Source organism: Homo sapiens, chromosome 10 (genome assembly GCF_000001405.40).
Source record: "Homo sapiens chromosome 10, GRCh38.p14 Primary Assembly".
NCBI classification, from domain to species: Eukaryota; Metazoa; Chordata; class Mammalia; order Primates; family Hominidae; genus Homo; species Homo sapiens.
The window spans coordinates 110208292-110226646 of record NC_000010.11 but is presented as its reverse complement, the minus strand read 5'-3'; the positions used below and the strand labels follow the sequence as shown (position 1 = coordinate 110226646).

The window sequence follows — 18355 nt, the reverse complement described above, 5'->3', positions numbered from 1 at the left end:
TTACACGCCTGCTCCCCTACCCACACGCCCCTCCTCACACGCGCGTCCCCTCCCTCACACGCCCCTCCCCTCACACGCGCGCACCCCTCCCTCACACGCCCCTCCCCTCACACGCGCGCTCCCCTCACGCGTGCGCACCCCTCCCTCACACGCCCCTCCCCTCACGCGCGCTCCCCTCCCCACACGCCCCTCCCCACACACGCGCGCTCCTCTACCCTCACGCGCGCACACCCCTCCCCTCACATGCGCGCACACCTCACCTCATGCGCGCACCTCACACGCGTGCCCTCCCTTACCGGCCGCACCGCACTGCCGAAAAAGATTAGTAGCGCTCGGGCTCACGCAGCGGCGCCCAGCCATTACCTCGCTCCCGGCGCTCCAAAAACTCGGCAGCCTCCAGCAGACGCTGCACGTTGATCATCTTCACCCGCTCCATGGGCACCGCGGGTGGCGACCGGCGCCTCTCCGCACTCCCTTCTCGGGCCGACAGGAGGCGCCGCAGGCGGCTACGGCCGGGCGCCGTTCCGGAACATGTGCGACGGGCGGGCGGGCCAGCTCGGCCGCGGCTCGGCGCGCTCTCCGCCGCCCCTGCCGCCCCAGCCGCGCCAGCCGCGCCCGCCGTGCCGCGGGCAGCCCGCGCGTGGTTTGTTTACCTCTCCCCGCGAGCACGGGGGAGGGGCGGGAGCAGCGCCGGGGCCCGCCCCCTCCCGCCCCTGCCTCTGCCCCCTGGGAAATGTAGTCCCGCACCCGCCCGCGGCTGCCGGGAATCGTAGTGCACACGCCGTTTCAGGGCGCCTGCGTTCCGCAAGATTCGCAAAGGTCGTCGGAAGGTGTAGTCCCGCTGGGTTTCCTTTCCTGTCTCTAGGGAAGACTAAGAAGTTGCGGGACTTTGCTTCTGGGAGGGAAGAATTTTTTTTTCCTCCCTCCAGACACGATGTGGAATGGGAAGGATTTGAGCGAGCTGGGAGTCTACTCCCGGGGAAACTTGTTTCTCAGCGACTCCCTGCGGTTGCCCAGGGGCTGAGACATTCTTTATTCGAAGTATCATGTTCCAGTCCTCTATCTCCTACTTTCTCATGTAACTTATGTGCCTCAGTTTGCTCATCTGCAAAATAAGAAGAGTAACACACCTGCACCAACAGCGCACACAGAAACTGGAAAAGCCAAAATTGCTGTTCAAAAACGAGGGATGATTTCATCAGAGAGGGTTTCCATGAAGCCCTTCTTCCACCTCAGCTTCCACACAGACAAGTAGTTACTTTTTTCTTTAATCTTACTTTTTAAAACTTTCTCCTCTCCTCACTAGTGCTTTTAGACGCCAGAAAATTCTCCCTGGTGCGGAACAGTTTGGTTCAAATCCTGACTCTGCTACTTACACTGAGACCTGTGTGAACTCTTCCAGCCTCATTTTCCTTATGTATAAAATGGATATGATCATATCCACGGCGTTGAGGGCGTGCCATGTGCCAGGCACTGTACTAGACTTAGTTTGCATAGTAAGAGAGAAACGGACGCAGACCTGCTCTCGAGGTTTGTGTATTCAGTAGTGCTTTTTGCAAAGATTAAATATAATAATTCCAGCACTTAGTATATACTAGGCACTCAGTAAATAGAAGCGATGATGATGTTTTCTCTTATGCTCTCCTCTGTAGCTAAAAAGGAAGTTAGAGAGCGGAGACCACATTAAAAGACTACCACTGGCCGGGCACAGTGGCTCACGCCTGTAATCCCAGCACTTTGGGAGGCTGAGGTGGGCGGATCACCTGAGGTCAGGAGTTCGAGACCAGCTTTGCCAACATGGTGAAACCCTGTCTCTACTAAAAATACAAAAATTAGCCGGGCATGGTGGCGGGTGCCTGTAATCCAAGCTACTCGGGAGGCTGAGGCACGAGAATCGCTTGAACCCGGGAGGCGGAGGTTGCAGTGAGCCGAGATCACGCCACTGCACTCCGGCCTCCAGCCTGGGCAACAGAGCAAGACTCAGTCTCAAAGAAAAAAAAAAAAAAAAAAAGCCACTGACTGCTCATTCATGGCCACTCTCTTTCTAAGTCCTCCACCTAAAAAATCCTCAAAGTCTAGACCAGGGTTTCTCAACTTTAGCATCATTGACATTTTGATCTGGGTAATTCCTCCTTGGAGCAGGAGCTCTGTTCCGTGCTTTGCAGGATGTTTAGGAGCATCCCTGGCCTCTACCCACTAGATGCCAGTAGCACACCACCACCCCTCAGGTGTGACAACCAAAAATGCCTCTAGACATTGCCAAATATCTCCTGGGGCACAAAATCCCTCCCCTGTCCCCCAGTTGGGAACAAGGGATCTAGGGAGAGGAAGAACAAGAGAATCGTACTTGAATGCTCTAGGAACAAGCTGGGAACCGTGCAAACATACCCATAACTTTTTTCCACCCCAATTATATTAACCTGCTGCTTGACATCACATCCAAAATAACAGGAAGCTCCTGGTGAGGGGGGAGTTTCCCCCTCCCGTGGTCATTCCATTGGCTCCTGCAGAAAATACCATCTTGAGATGGAAATCTTACCCTCTTAAAAATGTTATCGGCTTCATGCTGCATTTTAATATACCTTTCCCTCATACCTTTTGTTTTCTTACCTTTCCCTCATACCTTTTGTTTTCTTTTTTCTTTTCTTTTTTTTTGGTAAAGTGAACAAAATCTCCAGTGAGGTCACAAGCTGCAAAATTCTGCCAGTCCTTTTAAATATTACACTTGGCACCACATTTAAGACCAAATAGACGTTCCATCAAATGCAAGCAGACCCAAAATGAGAGGTGTTCGCAAGCCACAGAAGAACTTTTTTTTTTTTTTGTAAAGGCTTTCAAAAAGGGACTGTTCTTTTAGCTCTTGACTAGGTCGTTTTGGATCTGGACTTTCCCAGGTCATTTTGGATCTGGACTTTCCCACTGGGTGTTGGTAACAACCTCCCTTCACCCTCAACAAGGGCCATGTTGGGTAGGGGTGGGACTGGATTATTTTAAAGAAAATACCATTCATTTAGAACATCTGTTAGTTGAGGGTAGAATTTATTTATTTTTTATTTATTTATTTATTTATTTTTTGAGACGGAGTCTTACTCTGTCACCCCAGCTGGAGTGCAGTGGCGCGATCTCGGCTCATTGCAACCTCCACCTCCCGGGTTCTCCTGACACAGCCTCCCAAGTAGCTGGGGTTACAGGCGCCTGCCACCACGCCCAGCTAATTTTTTGATTTTCGTAGAGACAGGGTTTCACCATGTTGGCCACACTGGTCTCAAACTCCTGACCTCGTGACTCGCCCACCTCAGCCTCCCAAAGTGTCCCTGGCCAGGACAAATACAACTCTACTTTTCTCAATAGGAGGTAAACTTGTGTGACAAGCAATCAAGAAAAGTAGTACAAACTGAAAATATACATGAATTCAAGATGGCTTTAATTCCAGAGGTCACAGAACCATAGCTGGTTAGGAAGAGATGGCTACATGCAAGAGGCCTGGGGCCTATGCATGGCCTTTCACAGTTGACCTCCAGGTGAACTAACCTAGAGCCCTTCTTCTAGAGCCATGGCCAAGAGGGAGATGAGGACATGGAAAGTAGAGCGAGACTCACCAAAAGGCCACCTGCATTGAAGAAGGGGAGAGATGATGATCATGGTGGGCAGTATTAAGGGCTGGTTCATGTACAGAAATCTCCAGCCTTTTCTAAAAGCAATTGAAGTGCCACTTCCTTCTCCCTGCGCTGGCTGCCTCCTGGAGTCCTTCCTTGGACATCAGCTATAAGGGCCTCTCCAGCACAAAGCTTAGGGCTCTATCCACAGGAAAGTAATGCTACCCACAAACCATCCCTCAGCAACAGTCTCAGCCCGGAGGAACCCAGAGGCAGCCATAGCCTTTCTTTTGTTCCGATGAACTAGTTTGCACTACAAATGCAGATGGGGAAACAGGAAAAGCAAGGCTTCCAAAGTCTACTGACATAAGAACCTGGAATCCTACCCATAGTCTCTGTTCTGTCCTCTCCCTAAAGTATATCTCTCTCTCAAGGGAGTCATTTGAAAATGGAGAAAGTCCCCCAGAATACCCCAGGCCTATAACGATCACAGCCACGGATGGGGACAATCTGCCTTCTGAAGGAAGCAGGCAAAGCCCTCAATTCTTAAGGGTCCTTTCTCAGCACAGTTTACTTAGTGACAATTTCCAAGTGATTTATTGCAGATTCATAAACAATGGAGGCTGATGTGTTGTATCTTTTCTTCAGGGAGGCGAGATGGGGAGAGAGGAAGGGGCCATGAGGTTAAGTTACAAGTCCAAAGTTACTGTGTTGATGACACCTTGCACTTAGGAGAACTTCCCTGAAACTGCAAAGTGTTTACTGAGTAGGGCACTGTTTTCTGCAATTATCTTTAAGGATGGGCGTTTTCAAATAATCAACACTGGGGACACGGGAGGTGAACTCTAAGCTCTTAAATGAGAACCGTTAACAGTTATACATTTTTCCATCTCCCATCCCAAAATGACTACTGCAGCCTCCTCCCCTCCTCTTCCCCCAGAGCCCAGAAACGTGAAGAACAGCAGAAAACCTTTCCCTCGCCCAGTGAGTCAGCCTTGCCTAAGTTCATGCGTAAGCTCTCCTCAAGTCAGCGGCAGCTCAGAGCTGCGGGTCTGTGTGCAGCCGAGATAAATTTGGGTCTAGAAGGGATGACGTAATGCTAAACCCGAGAGGTAGCTGCCGCCTCCCAGGGCTCCTGTCGCCAGGGCTGCCGGCTGACATCCCAACCACACGGAAACGCACCAAGCGACTCAGGTGCTGCCCGAGCTGGGGAGAAAGGGAAAGGACATGGGGTGGGGGGAACGCCAGGGGGAGGCAGTGTTTATCTGAGACGGCTGAATCTGGAAGTTTGTTGCTTTTTAACTCCAGTTTTACTGGTGAGATCAGACCACTGGCAAATGCTCAAACAGCTGCACTTGACTTCCATCCTGACCCATCTCTTCCCTCTTAGAAAAGGGCTTCTTACATTTTATTAAATGGCCCTTATTACAGCAGCCTATTTCAGTGATTATAATGGATGTGTTAATCTCTCAAATGTCCTTTTCCTTCTTTTTTGCATGAACTTGGATCCAAGAAGACATCTGCATTGCAGGACTCAATTAACATGCACATCTAAGCGGCTTGCTTACTTTGGAGCACCCCACTTGGGGTGACACCAGGGTGCTACTGATAAGGTATTTGGGAGGATTTTGCTAGGGCCATGCCAAGTGAATATTTCCCCAAATAACATTTCAAGGTTTATGTCATAGAAGTTTGTGTCATTAAGCTTGTTTCTCAATACAGTCCCCATTTTTCACTTGAGAAAGCTGAGGCTCAGAGAGGTATGGTAACTTGCCCAAGGCCAACAGCTGTCTATCAAACTGATGGAATAAGGGTTAGAACTCAGGCTTTTTTAAACCCGTGGGGCCCATTCCTTTAAATATCAAGACGAAGTTGCATTCCCAAAGGATCCAAATGCTGTTTTTTTCTGTTTATGGTTCATTCTTCCCCAAGGAAAGGTTGCCATCAGAGTCAACTCCTTCACTCCTGGTGATGACCGCAAACCTTGGGCCCAACCTCACCCTTCCACTATAATTAAAAGACCACCACAGGAAACAATCTTTGTTGTGCCGAAGTAGTTTTCTTCATTAGAAATGCCTCCCAAATACTTTTCAACATTTGTTAGTGTAAACACATTTTATTCTTTAATTTGTGCCTGTAATCATTTATGCTGGTAGATTTTGTGACTTTCAGCAATATCTGGCAAATAACCTGGTCAGCCACGGTGTGTTATTGTTTTGAAGCACTGTTCAGTTCCAAGAGTTGATATTTTTGTTTAGGATTTCTGCATCTATATTTGAAAGCAAAAGTAAACTGTATTTTTTGTTGTGTTTCCTAGATGTTGGTATTGCAATAGTCTGTTCTTTCAAAGTTAGATGTAACTTGTTTTTAAGGCCTTCTCCTGCTGCTAAGAGGATGCCCCACATTCTTGCCAAAGCCCTGGGTAACCCTCCCTCCCCTGCCAGGAGCTGGCCTCGAGTTGCCCTGCCCCCACCCCTTGGCATCACCACCCTTTTCCAGGCAGCAGAAAGTTGTGGAGGTCACAGTTAGGTCTAGCCAGGCCCTGAACACTAAACCACACAACCAGCTCCTGCTGCCTTGTATCTGCGTTCTCTCAGCCTCAGATGCAGCACTTATAATAAAAATACCATTCTCTTGCCTGTCCAAGGTATAGCTGATCTCACCAGCTCTTCCAGCAATAGTGTTTTGATTTGAGGAAGCTGGGATTGTCCCTAGATCCTAGAACAATACACATCCATTTGCCTACTAGCTGCCACATAACTAGGGCCAACATGCACGGTGCTGCTCCTCCAGTCAGTTCATTTAATCCTCAGCACACCTCTGAGATTCCTATTTTACAAATAAGGCCCAGAAAGGATAGGTGATTTGCCCAAGGTCACACAGGCTATGAACAGATTGGAACTTGAATTTTCTGACCCTTGGACCCTACAGCATACATCATGTTATGTTCAATCGCGTCAGGTCAAACGAAATTGGTTAAAGCAATGGTCTCAACCAAGGGCAATCCCATCACACTAGGAGGCGGTAGAAACATTGTAGGAGTGTCTTTTTTATTGTCACAATGACTGGGGGCGTTCCAGTGGCGTTTAGTGGGTGGGAACCAAGGATGTTAAATCCTGCCATATTCCAAACTAATCTGTACAAGAACTGTCACACCAACAGCTCCTGTGTTGAGAAACACTAGGTCAGAAAGATAAAGACAGAAAACTAATCATTTATTCAATAAATATTCCTTAAGCATCTGTTATGTGCCAGGCACTAAGCTAGATGCCAAAGATAAAATAATGAACAAAACTACTTATGGTCCCTGTCCTCTATGTGCTTATATTCCAGCCCTCCAGACTGATGATAAGCAAGTAGAGTAAGTGTAAATTGTGATGAGCAGGATACAGGATAAATGATAAAAATGGGATAAGGTTAGGTGGCTGGGTGAGGAGTTCTGGGATGATCACAAAGACTGTTTAAGACATCTTCTCAAACTTTAAGGAGCACACAAATCACCTGGGTATTGTGGCAAATGCAGATTCTACTGCAGCAGACCTGGAGTCTCATTTCTGACAAGCTCCCAGGGGGTACCAAGGCTCTCCATCCTCCAATCACACTCACTCCGAACGGCAATGATGAAGGCCATGACAAGGAGTTTGGATTTTATTTTAAGTGAGGCAGGAAAGAAGCTATTGAAGGGCTTTTGAAAAGTGAGTAATAGGAACCCAGTTATATTTTGGGTTTTTTGTTTTTGTTTTTGTTTTTTGACACGGAGTCTCACTCTGTCTCCCAGGCTGGAGTGCAGTGGCACGACCTTGGCTCACTGCAAGCTCCGCCTCTCAGGTTCAAGCAATTCTCCTGCCTCAGCCTCCCAAGTAGCTGGGATTACAGGCACCCACCACCATGCCCAGCTAATTTTTGTACTTTTAGTAGAGACAGGGTTTCACCATATTGGCCAGGCTGGTCTCGAACTCCTGACCTCAGGTGATCCACCCACTTCGGCCTCCCAAAGTGCTGGGATTACAGGCATGAGCCACCTCGCCCAGACAAATGCAGTTATATTTAAGATCCCTTGTTTCCTAGCTCTGGATCAGCGAGAGAAAGTGGTTGGCCTATGTCATTGTCTGACTGGAACCAGCTGGCCCACACTGTCACGGTGGCAGCGAGGACCTAATGCTCATCTCTGCAGCTCACACTTGCCTCTCTCCTCTGGCTTCCCTGGCAGAAGCCCTTGGCTCCATGTATGGGCCAGCCCAGTTGCCCTACAAGCTCGGGCGCCTCCAGGAAGCCTAATAAGCCTGACAGGGTGTGGATTCACACCCTGACACCCTAGTATGCAGAACCACAGGAGACCTACTGGTTGGGTGAGTTCCCCAGGGGGTGCTGGGCAAGGTACTACTGCAGGTGCAAGCAGTGACACCCTAGACCATCTCCGTCTAGAGAAAGGAGCCATTTGGCTCCACTGTCAACACCCAAAGGGCCCTGGAGGTTCTGACAGCCCACTCTCTACCCTAGCAAGAGTGGGGAGAAAAGGAAGTCGCTCCAGGGAGGCATCCTCAAGGGCACCCTCAGCCTAACTTAAAACATTCCAGATTCCAAATCTTTTTTTTTTTTTTGAGATGGAGTCTTACTCTGTCACCCAGGCTGGAGTGCAGTGGTGTGATCTCGGCTCACTGCAAGCACCGCCTCCCGGGTTCACGCCATTCTCCTGCTTCAGCCTCCCGAGTAGCTGGGACTACAGGCGCCCGCCACCACGCCCGGCTAATTTTTTGTATTTTTAGTAGAGACGGGATTTCAGCGTGTTAGCCAGAATGGTCTCGATCTCCTGACCTCGTGATCCGCCCACCTCGGCCTCCCAAAGTGCTGGGATTACAGACGTGAGCCACCGTGCCCAGCCTCCAGATTCCAATTCTTGACTCTTGCACATTTCTTACTCCCTGGGGCTTTTCCCAGAGCCCTAAGGTCTCTCTAGGAAGAAAGAAAAATCTGGGGTTTTAGTCTCTACTCCACTATTTATTAGACTGTGGCCTTAGGAAAGTTAGTCTTGCTAAAGCTAAGGCTTTCCTCATCTACAACATGAGGGTTATTATAGCACCTGCATATTGGATGTTTGTGAGAATTTAATATAAAGCACGTAGCATTGTGCTGGCCCATAGTAAATGCTCAATACTAGGAGGGCATTATCACCACTCCTTTGGAAAACAGAGAAGACATTGCACTTGTCAGCAGCTCTCTTGGGGACAGGTTATCACACTCTCCCAGAAGACAGACAAGAATTGTTGACTGATTTCTATTCGTCTATCATTTGAACTAGAAGATAGACCTGGAACTGGAGATCATACATGCTTCACTTTGGAATCACCAAGCACAGAGCTTGGCTCCCTGGCAGGTTTTAGAAATTATTTGTTGAACTTAGCTCAGTTCAACAAAAACTTAGCTCAGTACCACTGGCAGAAAAAAATGAAAGTAAGTTGTATGCAAGGCACACACAGTCTTGGGAGCCAAGAAATATGGCAGGACGGTCAGGCTGTGGTGGAGGTAAGAGGAAGATAACACAGGGGCACCATAAGGTAGTTCTGGGCCCCTGTAGAAATAAAAACAAAGTCCACACCAGCTCTCACTTGCCCAGAGCAGCCCTGGGCATGTCCTCCACTTTAATACAATAGCCTTCCTACTCCCAAATCACCTTTATTCAAGTATCCTTGCTAATGGCAATAAAGACACAGAAAAAGAAATTTCAAATAGTAGGTAATCCAGATCCCCTTTAATTGGCTTCAGTTTGAATTTCTCAATCTCCCTCTCCCTCCGGACAGTGTGTTTATCTTTCTAATTTTGCTGTGTCTAAATTTCCTTACAGACACTGGAGTTGGATATTAGAGGTCTGTGGCCAAGAGCATGTTGTACAGGAGAGTGGACTTGGGAGGAATGCTGGTGTGGACAATCCTCCAAGTGCAGAAGGCCCCTATCTGTAAAGAACTGCGAGTGGAATGTATTTACTTACAAGGTTGCTTACACAGTTTCCTAAGCTCAGGCAGTGAAAGAAAAAAAAAACATCTGTAGAAATTACAAGGACAAACACAAAAACACAAAGGATTGTAGGCCGGGCACGGTGGCTCATGCCTGTAATCCCAGCACTTTTGGAGGCCGAGGTGGGTCGATGGCTTGAGCCCAGGAGTTCGAGACCAGCCTCGACAATATAGCAAAACCTTGTATCTACAGAAAATACAAAAAATCAGTGGGGCAAGGTGGCACACACCTATAGTCCCAGCTACTCGGGAGGCTGAGGCAGGAGGATCACTTGAGCCCAGGAGGTAGAGGTTGCAGTGAGCTGAGATTGTGCCACTGTACTAGCCTGGGTAACAGAGCAAGACCCTGTCTCCAAAAAAAAAAAAAAAAAAAACATTAAACACAGATAGGGGAGACAGGGAGGGAAAGAACTACTCCTTTTGGAAGCCCAGGCTAAATTTTTATTCTGTCTATAATGATAGCTAGAACCAAAGACAAAAATACTCAAGTCAAATGCCATCCTGCATTGTTGGGGTTCACTTTAAGACAAGTGAAGTTCTAAAACCTGGCAGTGGAACAGTACACTCCATGAAGACAGGAACTCTACCTCTAAAACCTGGCACTGGAATAATACACTCCATGAGGGCAAGGACTCTACCTCCAAGACCTAGCACAGTGCCTCCCATTAAGCAAGTATGTACTCCTTATGTACTGGTTTAATTAATGAATGAATAAACACAAATTTAGGGAGAATGGCTCACAACATAATTCCACATCTTACCAAAATAGTTGCCACAAGGGCTTTTCAAGAGAGTTTCTCTAAATTTTTTTGAAAAAGGATTCTGTTTACATATATTCCCTGGAGCGTACTGCTCAAACCAAGGGTCACCTGAACTTTCAAAACATTTCATAAGCAAGGGGCCCAGCACACTTCTGCCAAGATGAGGAAGCAAAGAAGGAGCCTCCTGCTCAGCATGATGATGGCAAATGCCCATTATTTTTGACCACAAAGATCAAGTCAGCTGTTGACAGCTTTAACACCTCTAGCCAGGCCACTCGGGTACAATGACATCAGAGACAATTGCTTCCTTTAAGTTAGAAGAGCCAGAGAGCAGGTGTCTGTCCTTGGGACAGGGAATTGAAGCCTCTCCCGTTCCCTTCCATCCTCCCTCCCTCTCTTTTTTTTCTCTCTCCCCACTGTGAGCCTAGAGCTCCACCTCCAGAAGGATCCTCCAAGACTTGAATTCCTCCTCCTCAGTCAAGGCTTGGGATAGCCACCTCATCACTGCCACCACCTTCTAGCTCCTCCCTCCTCCCAGCCCCCAAATGTAAAAGATAGTATTTTTCTAAGTATGGCAAATTGAAATTAGCTTCATTTTGAAAGACTATTGAGAATGTTGCAATGACCTTTGCAATAACCGGACACACCCTGGGATCAGTAAACCAGGTTTGAAAATTGCTGACTTTATGAGCACTGGACCTGTGAAACAAATGCCCAGGTTGGGACTCTACCTGGAACCCATTCTCGTATCAGGTAGGAGGGAACACAGCCCAGAAGGACCTGGTTCTGCCTCTGCTGTGTCATCTTGGGCAAGCCAGTGTCCCTCTCTGGGTCTCAGACTCCATGACTGTACAGATGATGGATGCTCTGTGACCTCTGGGGCTCCTTCTGGCCCTGATGCTCTGTGCTAATACCTGCCTCCTTTAAAAACAAAACCTGGACCCAGTGTGGTGGCTCACGCCTGTAATCCTAGCACTTTGGGAGGTCAAGGTGGGCAGATCACAAGGTCAGGAGTTCAAGACCAGCCTAGCCAGCATGGTGAAAACCTGTCTCTACTAAAAATACAAAAATTAGCCAGGCGTGGTGGCAACCACCTGTAGTCCCAGCTACTTGGGAGGCTGAGGCAGGAGAATCACTTGAACCCAGGAGGTGGAGGTTGCAGTGAGCTGAGATTGTGCCAATGCACTCCAGCCTGGGCAACAGAGTGAGACTCCATCTCAAAAAAAAAAAAAAAACAAAAAAAAAAACTGAAGTGGAGCAGAAAGAAAAATGGGAAGGGAGAAGAATGGTTCAGGAGGCCATATTACTATAAAGCTCCCCCATTTCTGCCTGCTGAAAATTGCTTTCCTCATTCTGCAGGAAGACTCCCATTTCTTGCTGGGTTGTTACTTTTTTATTTCTTTTTCTTTCTCTCCTTTAAAAAAAAAAAAAAAAACTCAAAAGCCACAAAACCACAATTCATCTCCCCAAAACAGGACATTTGGAAGCCAGAGCTGTCGGGGGTTAGGTGTGTCAGGCCTGACATACTGGTGGTATCTAAGTGAAGACCAAGCCAGGGCAAGCATGTGCTTCTCCTCCAGAAACCCAGTTTAAATCAATATTTATCCAACTGTATTTATAGAAAGTGGTGGTGGTAGGGAGGAGGGGGTGGGGTAGGGAGGCAGGGGGATCTAAAACAGAACAAGCCACAATGACTGATGCAAATCTTTGTGGCCAATTCGCTTCTGCAGGGCTGGGTTTTTTTTTCAAAAGGCAAAAGACCCGGCTTTTGATGAACCTGCTGTTGGCCCCAGTACCATAGCAACAGCCCCAAGTCCTCTAATATGCCCAGAGGACAGACTTGGGAAAGGCAGCAGGAGGGGGGTGGTGTTTCCTAGGAGCCCTAAACTTGAGTTAAGGCCAGGAGAGTTGAACAACTCTGAAAGACAAAAAAAGAAAAAAAGCCTCTCTGGTTGGCTCTTCTGACTCCAGCCTCACTTCGAAACCTTTTCTAAGCAAGGTGTGTGCAGGAAGACCTTGGACAATAAACAAGGTGTTTCAAATACCAGCTCTGCTTCAGGTTCCTGGGTGACCTTGAGTAAGTCATTTCACTTCTCTGGACTTCATTCCTTGGCTGTGAAATGAGTACATGTGTATATGGTTAAGAGCACAGGCTCTGGAATCAGAGGCCTAAGTTCAAAACTCAGCTCCGCGACTTACTAGCTATATATCCTTTGGGCAAATTACCTGGCATCCCTGCTCCTCAGTTCCCTCCTCCGTAAAAGAGGGTAATAAAATTGCATCCATCAGAAGGTTGTTGTGAAGATCAGGGGAGATAATGAATGCATAGCCCCATACTTGGAATATAGTCAGTGTTCAATAAATTGTAGCCATTATTGATATTATGCCATACAATTAGTTGCTGCTGCTGCACGCCAGCACCCTCTTCATTTTCCTCAGTTTCACCTCTAGACTTTTGCCCAGGCATCTCCAGATGAATCCCCATTTCTGGATGTGTCAGTGGGAGACTGTTTCCATCAGAGATGAGAGATGGATGAGCAGCTACTGTTTTGCCTTGGTAGCTAATGGAGCCTCCTTTTTGCTCCCAAACCAGGAATGGCTCAATTCAACTTCTCTAACTTCCAAGGCCCTGTCCCCTTTCCCTGGATCTCCTTTCCAGGACACACAGTCCTTGGGAGCTCCGTGATTCTGAAAGCCGTAACAATATCCTCAAAAAAGCCTTCTTCTGGTATTTACCAGTCAGCAGAGATCATATTTAAAACTGGAAAAAATAAGTTGAATCTGGGGAACATAATTTGGGATGCAGAGGAAATAGGGCCTGATTTAAGAATGCTCTTCACATAACTCCACTAAAGACAAATACCCTACTCCACCCCCACCATACTTCAACCTACAGAGTTTTCAGAAAGAAGCATCTGCACATAGTAGACATTCAATGTACATTTGAAGAATGTATGAATTCATAAGATTGCTGCCATGCAAAAACGTGACCAGCTTGAACATTAGTTGCCATCAAAGCCCTCGATTTCAGCAGAAGTCACTCTAGTCTCCTTCTTTCTTATTTGTTTCTCAGGGTCACAGCTGTTCACAGGATGCAGTCTCAGCTCTTCAGGTCTGAACTATCATCTTCTTGCAGGGATTGGTCTCACCACCCAAGGGAGTTGGAGATCAGTATTTCTGACTCGTCTCCAAATCTTCGGAAAGGCTGTCACGTGTCCCCTGGCCTCCAAACCTGATCCTCGTGCCATAGCTAGCAGTAAATGACAAATCTAACCAATCAAAACATTTATATTAAGGATCTACTACTGTATGCCCAGTGGTGTGCTATATGCAATGGGTAACATGCATTGAATACTGTAAGTGATCTTTTCTCTTAAGTTACTAATAAACTCCTTGTAAAGGTAAAGCTAACACACAGGAAGCAAGTAGAGAAGTGCATGGTACTGATTATCAAAGCTCAGAGAAGTTGCTATTTATTGAGCACCTATTATATCTCAGGTACGTTAAATATTTAAGTGCAGTGCCTCATTGAGTTGTTTGACAATGATATGAGGGTCATACTATTGTTATCCCCATTTTGCAAAAAGGAAATGGAACCTCAGGCTAAGTAAGTTGTGTCCAAAGTCACAAAGCCAGTAAGCAGTAGAGTAGCAAGCTGGGCCCTGCTCCATGTGACTGCAAAGGTTTCATTCTCTCAAGTACAATGACTTAACAAATAGAGCCAAATGGGCTGAAATAGCTAGGGGAAGCTTCCTGGAGGAGGTGGAAACTGATCTAAGTCTTGAAGAGAAGGTAGGATACAGATATCCCTAGGGGAGTAAGAGAATGAAAGCATTCTAGACAGTGGAAGAGTCTAAGTCGAGCACAGAGGTTCGACTGTGAAGCCTGCTTGCTGGTGGATCTGCTGTACAGACACAGAGGTTTCAGGGCAAGGAAGAGGAGATTAAGTCAGAAGGCAGGGTGGGGCCAAATGACACCACACAACAGCAGCTTCCTCTACCAGGAGGAACAGGCTGTTTCTTGGGCTGTCCGTGCCCCTAGGAAAGCACCCCACCCTCAAACCCAGGTGATCCACTCCAAGGAGCCTTATGGCTTTCTACTCTCATCTGATCGTCCTTCCCTATCTTAAGTGTTGCCTCCAAAGCAACCTCCTCCAGACACTAGGAAGCCCATTTCTCTCCTCCAGACCTTACCTGCTCTCACAGCTTGTTTCACTTACCTGCCAGTCGGCTCTTATGCACATAACATCCCTTTATGGATCTGTTCTTCTCTTTTAGTTTTAACCTTTTCCAAGATCTTTTTCTACTTATTAGTCAGTCCTTAATTCCCACCCTTCCACTGGACTCAAAATGCATATAGGTGATGATGTCAGAGATTATTTACATATAATTTCTGAATTTGTGGTAATAGGATCACAGCCTTCATGATTAATATTTCTGGAGGCCTTCAATTTGTGATCCGTAGAGATTCACATCAGTTGGAGTTTTGGGAGAATGTACCTGCCTTTCCTAGGGAATCCCCCCTGCCTTGCACACAGCAGACAGTCAACAATGTGACTTAATTTGAACCCCTCCTCCAAGAAAACTCAACCTCTCCACTGGAAGTAATTCAGCCATGTGGCCACAACTTGGTGAACACTACCAGTACGGAAACCTCAACAAGGGAACGAAAAGCAGTTCTGGCTACGATGGAAAATAAGGCAAGCTCCTGCCAAGTAAGTACTTCGCAAACAGCAGTAAAAACGGAACGTGTTAACTCGTGACCAGGGTCCACCATGCATCTCAGAAAGGTCTCACCGAACCCGAAATGGAGAATCGGGGCCCGACACTCATCTCCGGACAGAAGAGCGTCCCTTTAAGAAGAGACTGGACCAGCTGGCCGCACTACAGCTCCCAGAGATTTCCTGGCTTGCAGCCTGGCTCCACCCCCCACCCAGCCTCCGGCCCCAGCAACGCGTGACGTCAGAAGAGGCTGGAGCTGCCGATTGGCTGAACGACGCAGCTAGGTCAAGTCCAGTCGGAGGAAAGAAGTTTGTCTCCATGTGGAAACCATGTGTCTCTAGCTGGGAGGGGGAGGAGGAGAAGGCGGAGAAACCGAGATCAAGTGATTATAGGGGAACTCGCTGAAATGAAGGCGGGGAGGTTGTGCACCTGAGTCGGCCAACGATGCCCTTTTGCAGTAGTGACCGAAAAAAAAAAAAAAAAAGACGTACACAACAAACTACCCAACCCCACCCCCAATAATAACTACTAAAAAGCTAGGGTCCCTGCTTCCTTCCAGAAACCAGGGACCCGGTAGATGCTGGAATCCTATCGGAACGCCCAGATCCCTCTCCCTCCCCCAACGACTGAATGATGTAAGCGTTTCGGAAAGCAGAGCTCTGGAGCAAAACAAGCCCCGCGCGCGCCGAGCGACCCGCAGTGCCCGAGCCGGGCGCACGCACGACCCGCCCCCCGACTCGCGTTATTGCTGTGCACACGCGGATTGCCGTGACGCGCGGGCATTGTGTGCAGCGAGCAGAAAACAACGACGAGCGCCGCCAGCGCGAAGAAGCGCCCCCCATAAAACGAGGCAGATGTAGGGCCCGCCGTTTTCCGTACCCAGAGACCTAGACCGGGCAGGAGGAGGGGAGGAGAGGGGGTGGGATAAAGTGGCCCCCGTGGACCGCTTCTCTTTGCAAGGGGGATAACAGAGGGCCTGGCGGATGGTCGCACGGAGTTTGCCGGAGGTCACCCCAGCCTGTTCGAGCTGTTGGGGACGGGGCGAGGGCCTGGAGCGGGGTCTCTGCAGCCAAACTGGGCACGGCGCGGCGCCCCAAGCTCTCGGGGAAATCTGGGGGCCGTTGGCATCACGTCATTTAGAGCCAAACAGCAGCGGCGAAAAGAAGCAAGAGAGCTAAAAATACTCCCGCCGGGAGCCGGCCGGAGGAGGGGGGCTGCGGGGCCGAGGGACTTATTACGCACATGAAGTTGACTTAGACTTGGGTGCTAAGGTTCCAAACCCCTCTCGGGGGCTGGCAGATTTGCAGGGCGGACGCCTCGGGCGATGGGCTGGGAGGAAGCCCCTCGGCTTCACCAGCCTCTGGAGCCCGGTTACGCCGCCACGGGCCCGCCCCGCGCGGGGCAGCCCAAGCCCGGCGCGCCCGGCTCTCTGCTTACGTGACTGGTGGCCACGCCGGAGCCCCGGCACGGGGTAAACAACGAGGTGGCGGCGGCCAGGGCGGCGGGGTGGGGGGTGGGGGGTGGGGCAGGGGGAGGTCTCCGATTGTCTGCGGGTGCGAAGTGGGGGGCGGGACGCTGAGGAATCTCCGACCGCCTCCTCCATACACCTCGCTGGTGAGGGGGGGTGGCTGGGGTAGGGGGGCAAGCCAGGTTTGCCACACACTGCCAACGTGCCCTCATGGGGTGTACCCCTAGTCAGAGCCAACGCCACGGGACAGACTCCAGAGAACTGGTAGCCGGGGATGGGGGTAGCTGAAGAAATCGCGCCCCTCCCCCCTGCAACAAAAGCAAACACACCAAACAAAACCACGTCTTCACCCAGCTCCCCACCAGCTCTGGCTTTTCAGAAACTACCCTCCAGACAAATGCACACATAGCTTCCCGCGCCCCATCCCCCTCCGACCAGCATGAATAATTGCGAAGCGATTCGGCTGCACAGCCTGCGATGCGCCTTTCTCGCAACCCAGGCACTCCGGGAAAACAGGCGAGAAGAGAAAGAAAAGAACGCACCACCGACCTCACAACACAAATCCTCGTTTTGGCCTTACAGCGTCTGCACAATTGCGCTGCCAACACACGGTTCCTTTAACCCTGAAGACCTGGGGTATCAGTCAGCAATGGTGTTTTTGTGTCTGAGGGTTGTTGTGTTGGGTGGGGGGAAGGTTGCAAGATCTGACACGTTGCAATCGGGACCTTTCTTCTTTCTTTCTCTCTCTCTCACACACACACGCGCACACGTACACACACACACTCGCGCCTCATTGATCTTCCTACTTGTTCGGACACATTAAACATCCCGGTTTCCCCCTATCTGTCGGTCTGTCTGCCTAGTTCCCTTCCTCCTTTTCACAGCTATTATTCTGAGGACGGTGCTGGATACGCTGCACACGCGTGCCCCCGTTAGGGCGCTGAGTCGACTGCCTGGGGAAAGCTGGGTGACCTGGCTGGTAGGGGCAAAAATGAAACAAATAAATACAAAAAAGAAGCCAGGCCAGGGTGGGGTTCCCAGCACACCCCCACCCACGCACTACTATCCACGTGAATCTGGGGGTGGGCGGGTGGGGGGAGTAGAAATCGACCAGGAAGGCGTTTGCCTTGCTTGCCCTGTGCGCTCACTCAAGAGCCGTCTCCCGGAAAATAAAGAAAAAGCACAGAACAGCCCACACCTTCTTCCCCAACTATTGTTTCTCAAAGATCCCAAAGTTTCCTTCTAGCCGCGTCCCCACGGCCAAGTTTCCCGGGCTCAGGACGGCGTGTCCGGGGCGAGCTGCTGGCGTTGCTTGGCCCCGCCGGCCTCCTTCTTTGGGGGGGGGGGGGCGGCGGTGGCACCCCACGGCAACGGACGTGCAGGGGGACTGTGTCCGTAGACGTGATGGCCTGAGCCCAGTCCTGCTGCTAGAGGGAAGGAAAAAGGCGAAGTAGGAGGGAGAGAGAGAGACAGAGCCGAGCCCACGCCGTGGAGAGCTGTTTGGTTGTTATTGTTGTAGTGTGTGTCTGTGTGTTTTCTTTCTGGAACCTCTGAGCTCTGCCTATGGTTTCCAACTTTCGGCTTCTAATCCCCACCCCACCCAGGAACGAGCAACAGAAAAACAACACTTGTCTGCCTGAGAAGGCTCCGGAAAAAAAAAAAAAAAAAAGGAAGAAAAGCGACCTCAAAGAGATGAGCTCTCGGCTCAGTTGTCAGCAAACAACAACACTCCCCCGCTCCTCCGCTGGGCCATCCTCCCAGCCCCAGCCCGCCGGAGAGGACAGACCGACGCACCGAC

The 18355-nt window shown here is 49.5% G+C and overlaps 1 protein-coding gene and 1 long non-coding RNA gene across 4 annotated transcripts in view, besides 10 other annotated features; one reads left to right on the top strand and one right to left on the bottom strand.

Annotated features, from left to right (window-relative positions):
- The window catches only part of MXI1 (MAX interactor 1, dimerization protein), a 79761-nt gene that overhangs the window by 60719 nt on the left and 687 nt on the right, over positions 1–18355 (bottom strand). Inside the window, exon 1 of one of the 3 annotated variants that reach the window (NM_001008541.1) lies at positions 16332–16416. The exons of 1 other annotated variant lie outside the window; for it this stretch is intronic. Coding sequence is in view for 1 of the 2 variants with exons in the window: in NM_005962.5 (NP_005953.4) it covers positions 364–436 (73 nt within the window). In the remaining variant the exon portion in view is untranslated. Of the gene's footprint in view, positions 1–363; positions 652–16331; positions 16417–18355 lie in introns of those variants that run through there. One more of the 3 variants, NM_005962.5, reaches the window with a different exon arrangement.
- Positions 173–242: an enhancer, noted in NCBI's record as "active region_4007". NCBI's record gives its function as "activates an Ori minimal core promoter by ATAC-STARR-seq in GM12878 lymphoblastoid cells {active_cell/tissue: GM12878}" and the evidence as "EXISTENCE:reporter gene assay evidence [ECO:0000049][PMID:35858748]".
- Positions 573–732: a silencer, noted in NCBI's record as "silent region_2811". NCBI's record gives its function as "represses an Ori minimal core promoter by ATAC-STARR-seq in GM12878 lymphoblastoid cells {active_cell/tissue: GM12878}" and the evidence as "EXISTENCE:reporter gene assay evidence [ECO:0000049][PMID:35858748]".
- Positions 843–902: an enhancer, noted in NCBI's record as "active region_4006". NCBI's record gives its function as "activates an Ori minimal core promoter by ATAC-STARR-seq in GM12878 lymphoblastoid cells {active_cell/tissue: GM12878}" and the evidence as "EXISTENCE:reporter gene assay evidence [ECO:0000049][PMID:35858748]".
- On the top strand, positions 4720–13779 carry LOC105378480 (uncharacterized). The gene is made up of 2 exons (XR_946315.4): positions 4720–4790; positions 5113–13779. It is a non-coding gene; the product is annotated as an uncharacterized LOC105378480 (long non-coding RNA).
- Positions 12003–12052: a silencer, noted in NCBI's record as "silent region_2810". NCBI's record gives its function as "represses an Ori minimal core promoter by ATAC-STARR-seq in GM12878 lymphoblastoid cells {active_cell/tissue: GM12878}" and the evidence as "EXISTENCE:reporter gene assay evidence [ECO:0000049][PMID:35858748]".
- Positions 15012–15231: an enhancer, noted in NCBI's record as "active region_4005". NCBI's record gives its function as "activates an Ori minimal core promoter by ATAC-STARR-seq in GM12878 lymphoblastoid cells {active_cell/tissue: GM12878}" and the evidence as "EXISTENCE:reporter gene assay evidence [ECO:0000049][PMID:35858748]".
- Positions 15518–16496: an enhancer, noted in NCBI's record as "H3K27ac-H3K4me1 hESC enhancer chr10:111969909-111970887 (GRCh37/hg19 assembly coordinates)". NCBI's record gives its function as "activates a minimal SCP1, AML or CMV promoter by ChIP-STARR-seq in naive H9 embryonic stem cells {active_cell/tissue: H9 hESC(naive)}" and the evidence as "EXISTENCE:reporter gene assay evidence [ECO:0000049][PMID:30033119]".
- Positions 15518–16511: a biological region, named in NCBI's record as "H3K27ac-H3K4me1 hESC enhancer GRCh37_chr10:111969909-111970887".
- Positions 16072–16424: a silencer, noted in NCBI's record as "fragment chr10:111969981-111970333 (GRCh37/hg19 assembly coordinates)". NCBI's record gives its function as "represses an EF-1alpha promoter that drives an FKBP-Casp9 reporter gene in an ReSE screen in K562 erythroleukemia cells {active_cell/tissue: K562}" and the evidence as "EXISTENCE:reporter gene assay evidence [ECO:0000049][PMID:32094911]".
- Positions 16252–16511: a silencer, noted in NCBI's record as "silent region_2809". NCBI's record gives its function as "represses an Ori minimal core promoter by ATAC-STARR-seq in GM12878 lymphoblastoid cells {active_cell/tissue: GM12878}" and the evidence as "EXISTENCE:reporter gene assay evidence [ECO:0000049][PMID:35858748]".
- Positions 16602–16651: a silencer, noted in NCBI's record as "silent region_2808". NCBI's record gives its function as "represses an Ori minimal core promoter by ATAC-STARR-seq in GM12878 lymphoblastoid cells {active_cell/tissue: GM12878}" and the evidence as "EXISTENCE:reporter gene assay evidence [ECO:0000049][PMID:35858748]".